Source organism: Homo sapiens, chromosome 19 (genome assembly GCF_000001405.40).
Source record: "Homo sapiens chromosome 19, GRCh38.p14 Primary Assembly".
NCBI lineage: Eukaryota > Metazoa > Chordata > Mammalia > Primates > Hominidae > Homo > Homo sapiens.
This window is the reverse complement of record NC_000019.10, coordinates 51,886,775-51,905,541: the sequence shown is the minus strand read 5'-3', so window position 1 is coordinate 51,905,541 and position 18,767 is coordinate 51,886,775. Positions and strand designations below refer to the sequence as shown.

General features: G+C 43.4%; 2 protein-coding genes and 1 long non-coding RNA gene across 15 annotated transcripts in view, besides 5 other annotated features; 2 read left to right on the top strand and 1 right to left on the bottom strand.

Moving 5' to 3' along the window:
- Nucleotides 212–756: an enhancer, noted in NCBI's record as "NANOG-H3K27ac-H3K4me1 hESC enhancer chr19:52408039-52408583 (GRCh37/hg19 assembly coordinates)". NCBI's record gives its function as "activates a minimal SCP1, AML or CMV promoter by ChIP-STARR-seq in naive and primed H9 embryonic stem cells {active_cell/tissue: H9 hESC(naive and primed)}" and the evidence as "EXISTENCE:reporter gene assay evidence [ECO:0000049][PMID:30033119]".
- Nucleotides 374–493: an enhancer, noted in NCBI's record as "active region_15029". NCBI's record gives its function as "activates an Ori minimal core promoter by ATAC-STARR-seq in GM12878 lymphoblastoid cells {active_cell/tissue: GM12878}" and the evidence as "EXISTENCE:reporter gene assay evidence [ECO:0000049][PMID:35858748]".
- ZNF649 (zinc finger protein 649) lies at nucleotides 525–16,307 on the top strand. 3 transcript variants are annotated; one of them, NM_023074.4, is made up of 5 exons: nucleotides 525–628; nucleotides 5,248–5,449; nucleotides 8,564–8,690; nucleotides 8,975–9,070; nucleotides 13,645–16,307. In NM_023074.4, the coding sequence occupies exons 2-5, from the start codon at nucleotides 5,435–5,437 to the stop codon at nucleotides 14,922–14,924; spliced, it is 1,518 nt and encodes a 505-aa protein (NP_075562.2). In that variant the 5' UTR covers nucleotides 525–628; nucleotides 5,248–5,434; the 3' UTR covers nucleotides 14,925–16,307. The 3 variants fall into 3 exon arrangements, with proteins under 3 accessions (NP_075562.2, XP_047295194.1, XP_047295195.1); XM_047439238.1 differs by having other exon boundaries at nucleotides 5,248–5,744; XM_047439239.1 differs by lacking the exons at nucleotides 525–628; nucleotides 5,248–5,449 and having other exon boundaries at nucleotides 8,590–8,682.
- Nucleotides 1,847–2,392: an enhancer, noted in NCBI's record as "H3K4me1 hESC enhancer chr19:52406403-52406948 (GRCh37/hg19 assembly coordinates)". NCBI's record gives its function as "activates a minimal SCP1, AML or CMV promoter by ChIP-STARR-seq in primed H9 embryonic stem cells {active_cell/tissue: H9 hESC(primed)}" and the evidence as "EXISTENCE:reporter gene assay evidence [ECO:0000049][PMID:30033119]".
- Nucleotides 3,743–3,989: a silencer, noted in NCBI's record as "fragment chr19:52404806-52405052 (GRCh37/hg19 assembly coordinates)". NCBI's record gives its function as "represses an EF-1alpha promoter that drives an FKBP-Casp9 reporter gene in an ReSE screen in K562 erythroleukemia cells {active_cell/tissue: K562}" and the evidence as "EXISTENCE:reporter gene assay evidence [ECO:0000049][PMID:32094911]".
- ZNF649-AS1 (ZNF649 antisense RNA 1) lies at nucleotides 5,078–17,517 on the bottom strand. Its single transcript, NR_110733.1, has 3 exons — nucleotides 17,416–17,517; nucleotides 9,246–9,381; nucleotides 5,078–5,419 (listed from the first exon to the last, which is right to left on the bottom strand). It is a non-coding gene; the product is annotated as a ZNF649 antisense RNA 1 (long non-coding RNA).
- Nucleotides 17,467–18,318: an enhancer, noted in NCBI's record as "NANOG-H3K27ac hESC enhancer chr19:52390477-52391328 (GRCh37/hg19 assembly coordinates)". NCBI's record gives its function as "activates a minimal SCP1, AML or CMV promoter by ChIP-STARR-seq in primed H9 embryonic stem cells {active_cell/tissue: H9 hESC(primed)}" and the evidence as "EXISTENCE:reporter gene assay evidence [ECO:0000049][PMID:30033119]".
- ZNF577 (zinc finger protein 577) overlaps nucleotides 17,591–18,767 on the top strand; it is an 83,510-nt gene continuing 82,333 nt past the window's right edge. For 5 of the 11 annotated variants that reach the window (NR_163433.1, NM_001370456.1, NM_001370455.1 and 2 more), the window contains exon 1: nucleotides 17,591–18,721. The gene's annotated coding sequence lies outside the window, so the exon portion shown is untranslated. The remainder of the gene's footprint in view (nucleotides 18,722–18,767) is intronic. The other 6 variants (NM_001370452.1, NM_001135590.2, NM_001370448.1 and 3 more) reach the window with 3 other exon arrangements.

Genomic DNA, 18,767 nt, shown 5'->3' with positions numbered 1-18,767 from the left:
AGGCCTTAAAAACAGCCTTAACCTTGCTTAACCTGCAAACATAAGCAACAATTCACTTGAGTCATTTCTGGTAAATGCTTGTGTTAGGGAAGGACAAAACTCAATCTCAACCGATCAAAAGTAGGCAACTCACATGCTATTATGTCATTAGGGACTTTCCAAGGCAAATTTAAAAAAATGCATTTTTATAATTGTAACTAATCAAATAATTTCTTTGTTTTACTCCTTCACTCACCCTGTGAATACTTGTGTCTAATGCTTTAAGCATAGAAGCGCGAGACTTCTTTTGGTTTGATGCTTCCTAATTCATGAATTGCTGTTTGTTCAGATAAACTCTAGAAAATGCTCCTGCGCCTCAAATTTTTGCTTTCAGGAGAGTCATCCCGGTTTAATGACACAAGAACAACTGTTTCCCTTCTGTACGGCAGATCTACCAAGATGGCCGCGCCCAGAGAGCCGTGGCTCAGGGCGCGGACATGTTACCTCCTCGAAGAGAAGCCCATGTCCCATCGTCCTAGCGCGGCAGAATTGACTCGCGCCCTCGTCCGCCGCCATAGGCCAGTGCCGGGGTTTAAGGGCCAGGAAAGGAAGCATTCAGGGAATTTAGGTGTAGCCAGAAGAAAATCAGGTGAGTGTTTGGGTCTCTCCGTGGAGTAGGTTAAAGGGGTAGGGAGCTTCTGAGGAGCCTGTGGGGAGAGCTGGCGGCCTGGGCGGTGGAGCCTTTGGGTTGGGGTGCCTTTGCGGTCCGGCGTGGGAGAGTTCTTGTGGTCGGGCGTTAAAGGTCTGTCGAGTTCAGCGACTGAGACTCGGCGTCAGAGTTTGGGGTCTCTGAGGGTCACTCTGTTAGTAGGCCTCTGGATCACTGGATGGAGAACTCTAGGGGGACGCTGCCCAGCACGCCGGCTTTATCACCGACGCCATTATTATCACTCCAAATGCTGCAGTTTAAAGTCGGTGATGAAGCCGGGGTGCTGGGCAGCGTACGAGGGTGTGTGGTGTAGGTTTTGGGGTGAATCGGGGATGTGTGTTAAGTGTTTCGGGGAGGCCCAGGCATGTGGGGCTCAGAGGCTTGTAAAATCTGGTATTTTACAAGCCCAGGCCCCTGGCTGGGGTTGAGTTGTGAAACTATAACCGCCCACCCTTGCCGGCTGCCTAGACAGAGCCGACTTGTTAAGACAGGGAAATTGCAATGGAGAAAGAGCAATTCATGCAGAGCCGGCTGTGCGGGGAGACCGGAGTTTTATTATTACTCAAATCAGTGATAAAAGAAAAATTGAAGCCGAATTAAATTTACAGGAGTTTCCTTGAGCAATGAACGATTCGCGAATTGGGCAGCCCCCAGAATCACAGCAGATTAACAGAGACTCCAGGGGTGCCTCGTGGTCAGAACAAATTTATAGACAAAAAAGGTAAAGTGACATACAGGAATCGGAAGCGAGGTCCAGAAACAGTGAGATTGGTTACCATTCGGCGTTTGCCTTATTTGAACGCAGTTGGAACATTCAGCAGTCTATGAGTATGGCCGCTGGGACTGGCCACCACTCAGCTATTGTTACAGGTGCATACGATTAAGTTCGGTTTTCAATTTTGTCTGTTAAGCTAGGTTGCAGTTTATCCACAAGGACTCAAATATAGAAGTATGGAGTCGTTCTCAGGCAATATTTAGTTTGCTTAAGCATCAGTCTCCTTGAGCATTTGGGGATCAAAGTTTCCTCCTATCCCCCAGACGGAATCTAGCTCTGTTGTCCAGTCTGGAGTGCAGTGGTGCGATCTCAGCTCACTGCAACCTCCGCCTCCTGGGTTCTAGCGACTGTCCTGCCTCAGCCTCCCGAGTGGCTGGGATTACAGGCGCCCGCCACCACGCCCGGCTAATTTTTGTATTTTTAGTAGAGACAGGCTTTCACCACGTTGGCCAGGCTGGTCTTGAACTCCTGACCTCAGGTGATCTGCCCGCCTCGGCCTTCCAAAGTGCTGGGATTATAGGCATGAGCCATCGCGCCTAGCTATGATTGTTACGATTTATAAGAAATGTATAATCGATCTTTGTCCTGTTTCCTGGCACATGTCTCCCAAAAGCCTTGGAACCTCTTCAGTAAACAGTGCCTTTTTGTGTGGCATTGAGATGGCTGGTGACTGGGGGCTTCTGGCTGGCCTTAGGACGGGGGAGGCTGGTTGCCAGGGCAACTAACCATGTCATTTGAGGGTTGGAAATTTTAGCTCTGCCTGGCAACAGGGAAGTTGAAGGTTGAGTTGATCACCAGTGGTTAGTGTTTTAATCAAGTATGCCCACATAATGAAACCAGCGTAAAAACTCAAAAGGACTGGTGAACTTCTGGGGAACTTACAGATTCTTGAGCATGTGGAGGTGCCTGAGGGTGGTGAACTGAGTCTCTAATAAGCTTCCGTGGAGGGCATGGAAGTCCCACGCCCCTTGCTACAAACCTTGCTCTGTGCTATCCCTTCCATCTGCCTCTTCATCTGTATCCTTCGTAATATCCTTTATTCCTTTTCCCATTTGCCCTGAGAATACTCACCTTTGGTGCTTGCAGCTGGAGCATTTACCCCGAGATAACTTTGCCATGAACGATCTCACTTTTATTATTTTCACATCGCTCTAGTAGGTCGCCTTGGGAAACAAAAGACATCATTCTACTTATAGCATTCTGTTTTTAGTAGTGGTATTTCCATTTACAAAATGTAGTAGTTCTCGATCACTGAAAATGTCAAATCCTAGAAAACGTAGCATTCCTACATGTGATGTTAACATCATTCTCAAACAGTTCTTGGCTGAAGACTCACTGGATGGATCCGATTTTTACCAAATCGAGAATTCTGATGATTCCAAATCGAGAATTCTGATGATTCAGATGATTCTGATGTTAGTTCTGTTTAGAAATAACTCCTAGAACAGCTTTTATATTTTATTTTCACATTGAAAATCAGATTTACTGCAGCCTCAAAGAGCATGTTTATGTAAAATGAAATAAGCGCTGGCAGTGAGCTGCACTTCGTTTTTCTAGACAGGAAAAGAGTTGAAATAAACCAGTAAATGTTAAGTGCTTTCCTGAGTTCTGTGAGCCATCCAGCAAATTAATCGAACCTGAGGAGGAGGCCGTGTGAATCCTGATTTATAGCTGGTCCATCAGAGGTACAGGTGACAACCTGCTGCTTGCAACTTGCGTCTGAAGTTGGGGGCAGGCTTGAACTGAGCCCTTAATCTGTGGTGTCTGACACTATATCTAGATACACAGTCTCAGACTGAATTAAATTATAGGATGCTGTCTTAGCCTTGTTGGTGCTGCTATAACAAGATAGCTGAGACTGGATAATTTATAAACAACAGAAATTTATTTGTTATAGTTCTGGAGACTGAGAAGTCTAAGATCGAAGCACCAGCAGGTTTGGTGTCTGGTGAGGGCCTGATTTCTGCTTTCAATATGGTGTTTTGTCGCTATTTCTTTGGAGGTGAAGAATGCGGTGCCCTCACATGGCAGAAGGCAGAAGAGCAGAAAGGGCCGATCTGTGTGTGAAGCCTCTTTTATTTTTATTATTATTTCTTCTTTCTTTAGGTTTTTTTTTTTTTTTTTTTTTGATACAGAGTCTCACTTTGTCACCCAGCCTGCAGTGCAGTGGCACCATCCTAACTCACTGCAGTCTCAACCTCTCAACCTCCCAGGCTCAAGCAGTCCTCCTGCCGCAGCCATCTGAGTAGCTGGGAATACAGGCATGTGCCACCATGCTTGAATAATTTTTGTATGTTTTATAGAGATGGGGTTTCACCATGTTGCCAAGTCCTGAGCTCAAGTGATCTGCCCACCTTGGCCTCCCAAAGTACTGGGATTACAGGTGTGAGCCAACACGCTCGGCCTTTATTTTTTTTTATTTTTTTATTTTTAAGAGACAGGGTCTTGCTCTGTTGCCCAGGCTAGAGTGCAGTGGTGCAATCACAACTCACTGCAGCCTCAAACTCCTGGCCTCAAGCGATCCTCCCACCTCAGCCTCCCAAAGTGCTGGGATTACATGCATGAGCCACTGTGCCTGGCCAAAGCCTCTTTTATAAGGGCCTTAATGCCACTCACAAGGGAGGAGCCCTCATGACCTAATCACTTACTAAAAGCCCACCTCTTGATACCATTGCATTGGAGATTAAGTTTCAACATGAATTTTGGAGGACACAAACATTCAAACCATAGCAGCTGGCATTTGGGAGCTTAGATTTTTGGAGGCAGTCCCACTATTTCCTAATAAGAGTGGCTCACTGTGCCTAAGCTGTTTTTTTCAAACAATGTGATTTATCCTGAACACATGCTTTCCTCTAGGATTCTGGAGTTTTGGTGAATGTTAGGCAGTGAGCACCTTCACGATCAGCCCCCAATAAAAACCATGGCACACAATCTCTCTCTAATAAACTTCCTTGGTCTATAGCATTTCACGTGTGTTGTCATGACTTGTGGCTCGGGGAATTAAGTGTATCCTGTGTGACTCCAAAGAGACTGAACTTGAAACTTATGTCTGGTTTCCTCCAGACTTTGCCACATGTACCTTTTACCTTTGCTGGTTTTGCTGTGTATGTTTTCACAGTAATAAGTGGTTGCCATGAATATAATTATAGACTGAGTGTTGTGAGTTCACCTAGTGAATCACTGCATCTGGGAGTGGTCTTGAGGGGCTCCGGCACAGCTGCCCACATTCATTCACCTGTCTCCCCTTTTCTAACAGACTCTCAGGTGTCCTTGGCTTGTGGCAGCATCACTCCAGTCTCTGCCTCCATCTTCACATGGCCTTCTCTTTTACCTGTGTGTTTCTTCTCTGTGTGTCTCACGATTGTTGGGAAAAAGGCTTATGGGGTGCTGGCATAAACTGGCCATAAAAATATGGGACAATAAGTTTTGGAAAATCACAGGAGGCCTCTGAGGAGGAAAGCCTCCTTATTACCATCACGTTCTCATGACCAGAGCGTGACCTGCTCTCTTATTTATAAACACTGTGCTTAAGGAGAAAGACACTCCTTTGAAGCATTGGAAAGTGGCCAGATATGCCGGCTCCTGGTTAAGCCCACTGCCATATGACTCCCCACATTCAGAGTGTTGTTTTATTGCCCTGGGATGTAAAGACTTGGGGACACCTGACAAAGGGATGCTTAGATATATTGCTTGGCCTTGACTGCAGGAGAGTTTACAGCAGCAGAGACAGCATCTGGGCCCGGAGGGAATGTGTCACCAAATGAACTTGATTTTTACTCCATAGGTCCTGGCTCCCCAGAAGCAAGAGAGTTCAAATGAAGGAAGGAGGAGGTTCCTGGATGTGGATGTCATCATTTCTGGGAACACTCTTAAATGGAGACTCAGATTTCTTAGCCAAAATTTAGGGAGGATCCAGAAGAAACCAAAGACGAAGCATCCCAGTTCTTGGGTATTTCCTGAAACAGAAGAAAATGACAAAGGCCCAGGTAACTTTTGGTTTGTTTTATTCTTAACTCGATTCCCTGATGGATTTGTGGAAGTCTGAAGAAATCAGTTCATTTACATTAAAAGTATAAATTGGAAAAAATGAGCTCTGGGGAGAAACAGACTTAGACTGTACCTTTAATCCAGGACAAAGTGGGATCACAAATACTTTGTTCACATAGTTCACATGTGACCAGTGTTGGAATATAATGTGCGACTCTGCCAGACCCTGTTGGCTACATTAAGTGTCAGCTTGTGTCCAAAATCTTTGGCCACCATCACACCCAGAGAATCATGGTAAGTTACATGATGTGCACTGATTCTGAGGAGAAAGCGGGTCCGTTCCTCAGGGGATGTCAGTATTTCATGGCACTTAAATCTTGGGAAATTAGTTTGATGCTTTTTGCTAGAGGTGACAAGATAGACTTTTTGTCCTTAACAGCATTTTTCCAAAAGATACACAAGCAAGTTTTGTGTGACTGTTTCTACATGATTATTCTGAGTCCTCTATGGGACTATACCAAGAAGGGTTTAATGAACACAGTTTTTCCAGAGCTCACAGCACTGCGGCCTATATACCCAACCTTGTTGCAGTCTGTGTTTATCTGTGAGTAAACCTAATTGCCTAAAAAATGCAAGGTTTGCTTTCAAAGGAGCTCCATGAACAGGTCACTAAACTGGTGTTTAAGTACAGATTTGACCAAAGGGAGTTGAAAGTTCTCTTTGGCAATGGCTTGGGTTGTTGAGATCCACAGGGTTTGCTTTAGAATGTCATGTTGTCTCAGAAAATACAGAGCCCTTCCCTGTGTTCAAATCCAGTTATTAACCTCTCACCTCTTTTAATGCCTTAACTTAAAAAATTATGCAAATGACTCATTATGGTTTTACACGTATATATATTTGGTCTCTGTCTCTGGTTCTTGGCACAGAGCTCCTAAAACCTTTGGAATTTCCTGAGTGATAGGAGTGTATTTTGTTCTTCATAACCAGTGCCTTTCAACCACACCTGAGTTTATGGTAATGAGGTGGCTCAGAATGGGCTCCTAGACAACCTCAGGATGGGGCTGGTTGCCAGAAAGACCAAGCCTTGATTACAGAGTTGGGACTTTCAGTCCCACCCCCGACCTCCAGATTCTGTGACCAATGGTTGATGATTTCTTTTTTTTATTTTTTATTTTTTAATGAGATGGAGTCTTGCTCTGTTGCCAGGCTGGAGTGCAGTGGTGCAACCTCGGCTCACTGCATCCTCCACCTTCTGGGTTCAAGCAATTCTCCTGCCTCAGCCTCCTGAGTAGCTGGAACCACAGGTACAAACCACCACACCCAGCTAATTTTTTTTTTTTTTTAGTAGAGACAGGGTTTCAATATCTTGGCCAGGATGGTCTCGATCTCTTGACCTCATGATCTGCCCACCTCGGCCTCCCAAAGTGTTGGGATTACAGGTGTGAGCCACCGCACCCAGCCATGGTTGATGATTTAATCATGCCCACGTCGTAGAAGCTCCATAAAAACCCCCATGGGGTTTGGAGATCACATGTGGAAGTGGGGGGTGGGGGAAGGGGGCACTGCAATTCCATGGGATCAGAGGCTCCTGTGCTTGGCACCCTTTGGACCTTGACTTCTGTACCTCTTTACCTGGCTGTCATTTGTATCCTATATAATAAACTGTAATTGTGTGACATTTTCCTGAGTTCTGTGAGTCATTCTAGCAAATTATCGAACCTGAGCAGGGAGGTTGTGGCAACCTCCAGTTGTGGTCAAGTTGGACAGAAGTGTGATAACGTGGGGACCCCAGAGTGGCACATGATGTGAGGGCAGTCTTGTGGGACCGAGCCCTGAAACCTGCAGAGTCTGATGATAACCCTCAGCGGTTAGTGTTAGCATAGCATCGAACTCTAGGATACCCAGTTGGCATCAGAGAAAGTGTTGCTGGAAAAGACACTGTGTATTTGGTGTCAGAAAGAACCACAGATTCATAGTTTTTTTTTTTTTTTTTTTTGAGACAGTCTTACTTTGTTGCCCAGGCTGGAGTGCAGTGGCGTGATCTTCGCTCACTGCAACCTCTGCATCCTGGGTTCAAGCGATTCTCATGCTTCATCTAGGTGCCACCATGCCCACCTAATTTTTGTATTTTTAGTAGAGACCATGTTTAGCCATGTTAGCCAGGCTGGTCTCAAACTCCTGACCTCGGGTGATCCGCCCACCTTTGCCTCCCAAAGTGCTGGGTTTACAGGCGTGAGACATCATGCCCGGCCTCATGGATAGATTTTCAATGTGAAAGACTCAAGTTAAATAGTACACATAGTGTGAAAACAAAGTTCCCCCTCTGTATACTTTTTTTCCTAATTCCCTAGTATGTCACTAACAAATGCTTGTCTTCCTGTTCTAGGGATTTACCTGTGAGGACATCTATGTCTGCATGCGTGTGTATGTGTGTGTATACATGCGTTGTATACATATACATGTATCTATGCATGTCAATGCTTACATGTATGATGGCTTATTTTTTATGGCCACTGCATAGTTTATTTGTTGTTTTGCTAAATATCATGGTATAGTTTACATGAAGGGGGTCATGCTAGATTATTCTGCACGTACTATATGACTGTAGCATATAGTTTAGGGTTGCAAGTAGGTGCTGAAAAACACTGCAGACATTCTCATGTTAGCAAGAGGATTTAATGGCTGCATATTACAGAAACTTATGATTTGTTGGATTAATGGATGGCTGCATGGTTATTATAAAATATAGAATATTTTACTATGACTTTGCTTCTTTCACAGTATATTTAAAAAACTAGGAATACAGTTTATTTGTGAACATGAATTTGTACTGCAAGGGTCCACTTATATCCAAACTTGAATCAAAAATATAGTATTCTCAGGATGTGAAACTCGCTTATACAGAGTAACATAAGCAGATTCCACTAGGCCAACTGTAGGTCATGAGTATGCACAATTTCGGTATATGTGGGGCATCCTGAAACCATTCCATTGAGTATACCAAGGGACAACTGTGCAGGTGCAGCTTATGTGGTGAAAATGGGCCGAACAACTTCATATTTCTTCCATGTCAATAAAAGAGAAACATATTAAGCAGGACTGTGTTATTACAGGAATCACTGACCCTGGAGGATGTGGCTGTGGACTTCACCTGGGAGGAGTGGCAGTTCCTGAGCCCTGCTCAGAAGGACCTGTACCGGGATGTGATGTTGGAGAACTACAGCAACCTTGTGTCAGTGGGTGAGGACAGCTGCCCTGTGTCACTCAGAGGGTACCCAGTCAGTGGCCTTTGCTTTCTCAGCTTCTGGAAGCTTTGGTATGTCTGCTGTGCTCCCAAATGGCAGATCCTCAGGCCCGTCTCTGGTCCCACAGGAAGAGGCATAATCTTCCTTCGTCTTAGAAAAAAAGCCTTTAATTTGCTAACATGCAAATTATGCAGTCCCTAACATGTACCTTTCTCCTATCATCAGAGCCACGTGGTGCAATTCAGTGAGCCTAAGTCTTCTCCCATTTCCCACAAACAGGGTATCAAGCCGGCAAACCTGATGCCCTCACCAAGTTGGAACAAGGAGAACCACTATGGACACTAGAAGATGAAATCCACAGTCCAGCCCACCCAGGTAAGTGAGAGAGAACCAGCAAGAGGGGAAGGCAGCGGAAGTCACATTCTGGTCATTTAGAGAAGGCATGACAGTTGTGAAAGTGTCTAGGGAGACAGAAACAGCTGCCACATCTTCTTCTCCCCTAGGATACAAGAGCTCTTTTTCTTATAGGAATTCAGAGAAGCATACATACCCCTTTATCTCTTCTTGGAACTGATCCCTATTCATTTCTTCTTAGATGTTGAGTTGCTTCCCCTAAGTTCTTCTTGCTTGGATTTTCACATCTTCCCATTCTTCTTCATCACTTGTCAGAGGATCATTTTGTGTTTCTGAGGCAAAAACGACAAACTGTTTTTTTCTCTGTCACATAGTCACTCAACACAGCATTTATGCCACTGGATATATAGGGGTTGTTTTCTCACAGCCCAGGCAATTCTCCAGCAGACATCAGCTGGGTATCGTCTGTTTCAAATCAGCTCTGACCCTATCTACCTGATACGGCATCAGATCCCACCGGTTAAGGGCTCAGTCCAAGACTGTGTCCCACTTCAGATGCCAGTGGCAAGTCCCAGGTTGTCACCTCAGCTTCTGACCAACCAGCTGTAAAGTAGGGGTTCCCAAGACCCTCTCCTCAAGTTTGATTAATTTGCTAGAACAGCATTTATATGTATATGCGTGTGTGTATATATGTGTATGTGTGTGTGTATGTGTGTATATACATTTATATATATACTTTATATATTTATATGTATATATACATTTATATAAGAGAGAGAGGGAGAAAGAGTGCCATAAGCATTGTCTAGAGTTACTGATTCATCAAGTGAGATAAGAACTGAGGCATAGGAGGCCGGGCATGGTGGCTCACACCTGTAATCCCAGCACTTTGGGAGGCTGAGGCGGGCGGATCACAAAGTCAGGAGTTTGAGACCAGCTTTGCCAACATGGTGAAACCCCATCTCTACTAAAAATACAAAAATTAGCCGGGCGTGGTGACATGTGCCTGTAGTCCCAGCTACTCAGGAGGCTGAGGCAGGAGAATTACTTGAACCCAGGAGGCAGAGGTTGCAGTGAGCTGAGATCGCGCCATTTCACTCCAGCCTGGGTGACAGAGTGAGACTCTGTTTCAAAAAACAAAAAGAAACGAAAAACAAAAAAACAAAAAAACTGAGGCATCGGTATGTGATTATGGTTTGTTTTTCACATTCTGACACTATGTATTTTTCACCTTGAATTTTCTTTTCATGAAATGGTTTTTAATACACTACAATATAATAATATCTTCCATGTCTAAATTCCCATTCTACTTTGCATCCCAATCACACACAAGCCACTCCCATAGATACCACATCAGTGTGATTTGGTGGTGCTTGAGGTTCCTTTGCTACTCTGGAGTCAAGGGCCTGGTTTTCATTCTTCTTCATGTAAGATTGAAATACATCTTGGTCATTCATGCATTTCTTCATCGAAGGACAGATTAGCCAGGCTGAAGAGAGGTCATACTTTTCCATCTATTAAGCATTTCTTAAAGGCTAGATCTTTATTAAAGGAGTTTTCATGACACTGTCCATACCAAGGCCTCTTGCTCTGTGAGTCTGGTTTTGTTAGAATTGAGTTGGGGGCCTGGGCGTGTCTTTACATGAAGCTCTCTCGGGGGCTGTTTTTATGAGTTGATGAACTGTAGCCATAATACACAGTAGAAGAGACTGAATTTAGTGAGAAACAGAAATGTCTTTCTTGAGCAAAGATTTTGTTAGCAAAAATAGGGCAAATTTTTATGTAATATTTACAAATTAAACTTTTGAACGTGTGAAATGTTTTTGTTACAATTCAGGGCTATACAAAGTTAAAGTGAATAGTAAATACAGAAAGAATTGTAGGACTTTAGAAGAAATGTAACCTACAGTGGTCTAGACAAGATGGAGAAAGACAGACTGATAAAATATCTTATGCAAGAGACATAGCTAGGTATTGAATTAAGATGAAGACATATGACAAGAAGTTGTAGAACTGGAAATGCAAGGCCATGTGGGGACTGTCAGAAGATTAGCCTGAAGGCCGGGTGCGGTGGCTCATGCCTGTAATCCCAGCACTTTGGGAGGCCGAGTTGGGCAGATCACCTGAGGTCAGGAGTTTGAGACCAGTCTGGCCAATGTGGTGAAACCCTGTCTCTACATAAAATACAAAAAATTAGCCAGGCGTGGTGGCACGTGCCTGTCATCCCAGCTGCTCGGGAGACTGAGGCAGGAGAATTGCTTGAACCTGGGAGGCGGAGGTTGAAGTGAGCCAAGATCGTGCCACTGTACTCCAGCCTGGGTGACAGAGCAAGACTCCATCTCAAAAAAAAAGAAAAAAAAAAGATTAGCTTGAAACTGGTCACATGGAGGCCACAGTTAGAAGATATTTGCTGGGAAATGGTGAAGTGGGAACTTAAAGTGGATGCGTCATGGTAATGGTAAAACTTTTATTGTTCAGCTCCTGCTGTGAATTTTCTGTGCCAGTAATTCAGGGTAGTGGTGGAGGTAAAGTTTTGTATTTTTCTAGCTCTAGGTAGAGCTTACCTTTCACCTGGTGGCAGTACTATAGCAATCATACTGTATAGCTGATGTTCTAAGAAAAACTAAAAGTAAAGCTGCCTCAAGTCTTGATTCAGAAGTAGGGAGGTGGTCCTTGAGGGCTCCATTCACCGATGCCAACAGAGACATAAGTACAAAATTCAGAGAGTAGAGGCTGTTAGTGGCAAGGTGAGGAATTAGTATATTAGGGACAGCAAAGTGGAAAAAAAATCCAATATGACATCTGTGCAAGTAGGGCATGATGAAGAAGGTGACAGTTTCCATATTTGGTGCAGTGGCAGAGCTGTGTGGAGAGGACCACGTGTTCTGCTTGCATGTTCTGAAAGTCCATAGGGATCACCCTGTTTCTCTTTCTGTTGGAACATATGAGAATATATCATAGCCAGGTAGATACAAGGTGTTAACCAAAAAATTGAGGAGGCAAAGAGAAACTTTATATTCTAACAAAAGATGATTCGCAGATCTGAGTGGTGTGACTTTGAGGAAGTGGAAAAAACACACATCACTGAAGAGGGGAAACTTTTTTTTTTTTGCCTTGCAGGAGGCTTTTTGCCTTCTAGGATTTGCTTTGCATACCTATTCAGTGAGAGATGGGGAGTCTTATGAATATCTTTATGAGAATCAGCAAACATGTGCATAGTGAGCAAACATATATGTAACATATAATCCACTTTCATTTTGGAGTGGAGTTTTAACATTAAAATGAGGTGGAATTTGACTGTATGCTAGCAGGTCTTTTACAGGATATAAGAAAAGTCTGCACAGACTCCGGCAGCTGACCAAAACAGCTGGTGTTTATCAGGAGAAGGATATTGAGATCAGTCTCCTGTCCAATCATAGCTGCAGTTATGGCCTGTGGAATGCTGTTGGGGGTGAGGGGCATCAGTTAGTCAGCATCTGGTGGTCCGGGAGCTGCAATTGTTTCAATATTGCTTGTCCCAAGGCCAGTGTTTGTTTAGCTGCTACAGAAAAAGAAACAAAACAAAACAAAACAAAAAACACTCGTGGCAGTTAGAACATAGTTTATTCTTTAAATGTAGGGGGTGTGTGACTTAACCCTTACCTGTATGTCCTTAGACCTAGTTTATAGTTTGGTATCTTATTGCTACAAAGAGTCTGTTCCATCAGTCTTGTGATCTCTGTTTTAACAAAGGTTAGAGTATTGACTGCAGTTTTCCTGGAAATATGAGATTGGTGCTCTAGGAAAGTTAGCGTGATGATGGTCTACAGAATGGAGAAGGGCATATTTTAGCACCCAACAGTCTAATAGGATTAGGATGAAGTCAAAGGCTGTGTATCCAACATTCTAACTTGCCTTTCTGGGATATTTATTCTACTACCTATGTCTGCTGTTTCCCTACTCAGGATTATTCTTTTTTAAATTAAAAAAAAAGTTTTTGTAGAGACAGTCTCCCTATTGTAGCCCAGGCTGGTCTCAAACTCCTGGGCTCAAGTGATCTTCCCACCTCACCCTCCCAAAGTGCTGGGATTACAGGCATGAGCCACTGTGCCTGGCTGGCAAATTTTTTTTTTTTTTTTGAGATGGAGTCTTGCTCTGTTGGCAGACTGGAGTGCAGTGGAGCGATCTTGGCTTGCTACAACCTCTGTCTCCCAGGTTCAAGCGATTTTCCTGCCTCAACCTCCTGAGTAGCTGGGACTACAGGCACGTGCCACCACGCCCAGCCAATTTTTTTGTATTTTTAGTAGAGATGGGGTTTCACCATGTTGGCCAGGATGGTCTTGATCTCTTGACCTTGTGATCCACCCGCCTTGGCCTCTCAAAGTGCTGGGATTACAGGCATAAGCCACCGCACCCAGCTGGCAAATTTTATCTTATATGTATTTAACTACAATTCTTAAAAGTTTTTTTAACAGATAGGGAACACTTATACTTGGAATTCCTTCCATGTTGGTATTATAGGGGTTCCAGTAAAAAGCCAGCCAACCCCAAGGCATCTTTGAAGCAGTTTTATTCCGTGTGATGATCATGGAAGGATTTATTGTTCTCTCTCTTAGAAATTGAGAAAGCTGATGATCATCTGCAGCAGCCCTTGCAAAACCAAAAAATACTGAAGAGGACGGGACAACGCTATGAACACGGAAGAACTTTGAAATCATATTTAGGTTTAACCAACCAGAGCAGAAGATACAACAGAAAGGAGCCTGCTGAGTTTAATGGAGATGGAGCTTTTCTCCATGATAATCATGAACAAATGCCTACGGAAATTGAATTCCCTGAAAGTAGAAAACCCATCAGCACCAAGTCACAATTCCTTAAACATCAGCAAACACACAACATAGAGAAAGCCCATGAATGCACTGACTGTGGGAAAGCTTTCCTCAAGAAGTCTCAGCTCACTGAGCATAAGAGAATTCATACAGGAAAGAAACCCCACGTGTGTAGCTTGTGTGGGAAAGCCTTCTACAAGAAGTACAGGCTCACTGAACACGAGAGAGCTCACAGAGGAGAGAAACCCCACGGGTGTAGCTTGTGTGGGAAAGCCTTCTACAAGAGGTACAGGCTCACTGAACACGAGAGAGCTCACAAAGGAGAGAAACCATACGGGTGCAGTGAATGTGGGAAAGCCTTCCCCAGGAAATCTGAGCTTACTGAACATCAAAGGATTCACACGGGAATTAAGCCCCATCAATGCAGCGAATGTGGGAGAGCTTTCTCCAGAAAATCACTACTCGTTGTACATCAGCGAACTCATACAGGAGAGAAGCCTCATACATGCAGTGAATGTGGAAAAGGCTTCATTCAGAAGGGCAATCTCAACATACATCAACGAACTCACACTGGAGAGAAACCTTATGGATGCATTGACTGTGGCAAGGCCTTCAGCCAGAAGTCTTGCCTTGTAGCACATCAGAGATATCATACAGGAAAGACTCCCTTTGTATGTCCTGAATGTGGGCAACCCTGTTCACAGAAGTCAGGACTCATTAGACATCAGAAAATTCACTCAGGAGAGAAACCCTATAAATGCAGTGACTGTGGGAAAGCCTTCCTTACAAAGACAATGCTCATTGTACATCACAGAACTCACACGGGAGAGAGACCCTATGGCTGTGATGAGTGTGAGAAAGCTTACTTCTATATGTCTTGCCTTGTTAAACATAAGAGAATACACTCAAGGGAGAAACGGGGGGATTCAGTGAAGGTGGAAAATCCTTCCACAGCAAGTCACAGCTTAAGTCCTAGTGAACATGTGCAGGGGAAAAGCCCTGTTAATATGGTAACTGTGGCAATGGTGGCAGGGCAGTGTGAGTTTGCCCACATCCTGCATTCATGATAAACAGTTTGCTGTTTGATCATATAGCCTCCAGCGGAATGCTGAGTTTGTCATGTCCCATGGGCCTTTGGCTCCCTGCACTAATATGTATAGTAGGGTTTACAAGATATGAAATATATTTTACTTTTTTATATCTTATAAACCTCACTACCCCTCCCACAATATTGTTTTTCATTTACTATCTTGATCATAGAGTTTGGCTGGGGAGGGGGGCAGTTTTAGAGGCTTCCACTTGGTGTTCCTCAGAATGATATCTCTTACTCCGGGGGCCAAGGTAGGGGTTAGCTTTTGTTCTCTTTGTAGTTTAGATTGTATCTCTTGCCTTGTTCAAGTTCACAAATCTTTTTGTGTATACACATATGTACATGAAAATGATGTTCATGCTTTTTATTATTTTACCCTTCATTATTTCATTTTTTATAGTTCTCATAGCTATGTCTTTCAGTTCACTAATCTTTTTTCCACAGTGTTTAATCTGTCATTAATCCCATCCAAAGTATGTTTTCTCTCAGAAATTGTAATTTTTAACCTCTAATAATTTGACATGGGTTTTTCCCTGTTATATCTTTCATATCTTTATTTATCATGGTTTTACTTTTAACCTATTTATGCTTTCATATTTAAAGTGGGTGTTTAGTGGGCAACATACAGTTGGGCCTTCCTTTTTTATCCAGTTAACAATCTCTGTCTTTTTACTGGGGTATTTAGATCATTTACGTTCAATGTATTGATGTTTTTAGGTTTAAATTACTAACTTACTATTTGTTGTTTATTCTATGTCTTCTTTGTTCTCCTTTTCTTCTTTTTCTGCTTTCCCTTAGAGTAGCTGAGTGTGTTTATATTACATATTGTCTCCTTTGTTGGCTTATTAACTGTAAATCCTTGTCATTTGATTCCTTGAGATTTTATAGCATACATCATTGTGAGGGATTGCATATTTATGTCCTCTCCAAATTTACATGTTGAAGTCCTAATCCCTAAGGGATGGCATTAGGAAGTGTGACCTTTGGAAGGTAATTACATCTTGAAAGTGGAACCCTCATGATGAGATTATGTGTCTTATGAGACAACACAGAAGAGAGTTTGTTTTCTCTTTCTCTGCTCTTTGCCATGTGAAGACAGAATGAGATGACCATGCATAAACCAGGAAATGGACTCTCACTGGACACTAGACCTGCCAACACCTTGATTGTGTTTTAGAGTCCAGTTCTAGAGACTCCTCAGCCTCTGGAACGTGAGAAATGAATGTTTGTTAAGGCAGTCAGTCAGTCTATGGTGTATTTTTTCTAGTAGCCTGAACTGACTGAAAGAAAATCATGAACTTATCATTCTAACTTCAAGGACATTATATCACTTACTGTATAATAAAATAATCTTACAGTAGTATATCTCTATTTCCTGTGACCAGATCAGTGTCAGTGAAGAGATTGTCTTCTAGATGCTACTGGAATACATATTTGAGGTATGGGTAATCTTGATTTTACATGATAAATTCATTCTAGCATTCCAAACTCCATTTATCTTTGGGTACTTTATAATATATGAGGAAATTTCTGGCATTTAAACTTCATTTAGTGTAGGCAAATTTTGAGTCCAAGTTTCAGTCAACCAGCCAAGTCAACAGTTAGCACCACTCAATTTAGCTCACACACTGAAATTGCCAGTAGAATGTAATCTCCATGAATGAGAGTCTTTGTGCCTGAATTTCCAACTGTTGTATTCCCAGCACGCACAACAGTGTTTGACACATTAGGCATTTTATAAACATTCGCTGGATAAATGAGTGAATGATCAATCCCTTTAAAGGTTCTCTGAGGCTGGTTATAAAATTATAGGGAGCAGGTTTGGTGCTAGAATTCATCAGTTAATTGATCAGCTGAGTTTCAGTATTGAACAGAATCATCTCCCCTTCAGAGTTTTGATTTCAAGTTGCTCCCACCTTCCTGGATGTAAAGGCTTGTTCTGCCTTTGGCTTTTCCAGGGTGAGAGAGCCCTGTTTTCGTGTTGGTTCCCCACTTTGTCAACTGCTGATCAACTGTGTTCTCCATTCTCCACACCAATTATAACCAAAGCTTTAACACGCGGTTGTTTTATCCATTCTATGACTGACTCCTTCCTCTGAGGCTACATCTGATGTAGATGTAAAGATACTTCTTAGGCAGTTCTCAAAGGCTGCTTTCTCCAGCCAGATGCATCCTCAGGAGTAATAACCCCTCCGATTGTTGCTCAGGTCCCTCCCTCTTGAAATTCCTGTAAGACTGCCGCGCCACATGGTTTCTTTCCATTCTTCTTAGGATCAAAGTGCCTAAATGTCTGTGACCATCTCTACCCATCCTGTAGACAGATCAGGGCAGGCTTGAGCCTTTGAGAAACTAAGCAGTTTATGTAGCGCCCCTGGCTAATGTTGCAAAGCCAAGATCTAGCAGTTCACGTGGACTGGAAAAAGGGTGAAATGGGTCGTTTTCAATTGCTTTTCATCGTCAGAACCTACCTGTCTTAAGGCGCGAAAAGAGGGACTCCGCCTGCTCTACGGCAGTAGGGTTGAAAATGGCTGCTCCCAGCAAGCGTCCCCTGGGCGCAGACATATTGCATCATAAAGGGACGGCTGGTGCCGTATTCCGTGTCTCCGGAAAGACGCAGTATGGCCCTCGCCGGCCGCCATCCCCGAAACTTGCGAGTGTCGCGTCTGCAGTGTGTGGGGTTCGCGGGGCGGCGGGTAGAGGCGAGTGTTTAGAGACTTCGGGTCCCTGACTCGCCTCCAGCAGTGGAGACAGGTCATCGGTCTGGTCTGCGTGGGCTTCTGGGAATGTTTCAGGGGCAGGGAGAGCGCGCTTTTTTTTTTCTGTTGTTCGCTAGCGCGTGAGGTCCGTGTTGCGGGGAGCTCTCGGGGAGTCCTCGCTCGGAGTTCGTTTCGCAGTCGTGTTGGAGTTCCCAGAGTCTGGGAGCCCATGGTCTCCGCATTGGAACCAGTGCTTGGGAGGTCTTCGTTGCACAGTAGCGCTAGGGCGTCGTGGTGGGGAAGCGAATCGTGTCAGTGTTGGAGACTGCTCTGGGCAGTTCGTGTTCATTGCTTATCACATGCGTACTTAAAAAGGGGTCTGCTGGTCCCCTTGCTTCCCTGCTGCTGTATATTCTGTAGAAAATGGGTTTTCAGGTTCATTGCGACCCAAGTAATAACATCCCCATCATTTTAAATACTCCTCCAGAAAATAACTCTGGTTTAGTGTATTTCATGTTTAATGTTGGGATCAGGTGTCTAGGTATTGGTATAATTTTATTCGTCTTTAATAACATCTTGTCAACTTCGTATTCCCATATTACATGCTCTTTGAGAGTTTTTTAAATTGCTGCAGTTTCATCAAGTGGTTGCTTTAATTTGGGTAGAATTGATGTAGATCTAGATACAACACTTTCAGGAACATGTGATGGATTTCTATTAACCCAATATTTTTATTTGTTTGACTATCTGTAGTGTTTTTCCATACGTATCTTGGACATTTCTGGTTATGCTTATTTCTACATAGTTAATACTTTTTGTTGTAAATCGTGACTTTTTTTTTGCATAAGACCCCTCCCCCTTTCCTTTTTTGTTCCTAATTTTACTTAGTTGACAAGAACAGAAGTTAAAAATATATATGTTTATTCTGTCACTTCATTGTACTCATGTCATTACATATAACTTATAAATTGACGTCTTTTTTCTAGTTGAGCATTTTTGTCATCTGCAAATAATTTTAGCCAGGTGGCAAGTGTATGGACTGTGGAGTAAGAAGTACCTGCCTCTGCCTCTGACTTGGGTACGTTAATCTCTGAGTCAGTTTCCTTATTTGTGGAAAAAAGCTG

Bases quoted from the DNA above. Each gene is read 5' to 3' on its own strand.
- ZNF649 (NM_023074.4), top strand. The intron at 8,691-8,974 runs GTGAGGACAGCT...TCCCACAAACAG, and splicing joins CAGCAACCTTGTGTCAGTGG to GGTATCAAGCCGGCAAACCT. The intron at 9,071-13,644 runs GTAAGTGAGAGA...TCTCTCTCTTAG, and splicing joins CCACAGTCCAGCCCACCCAG to AAATTGAGAAAGCTGATGAT.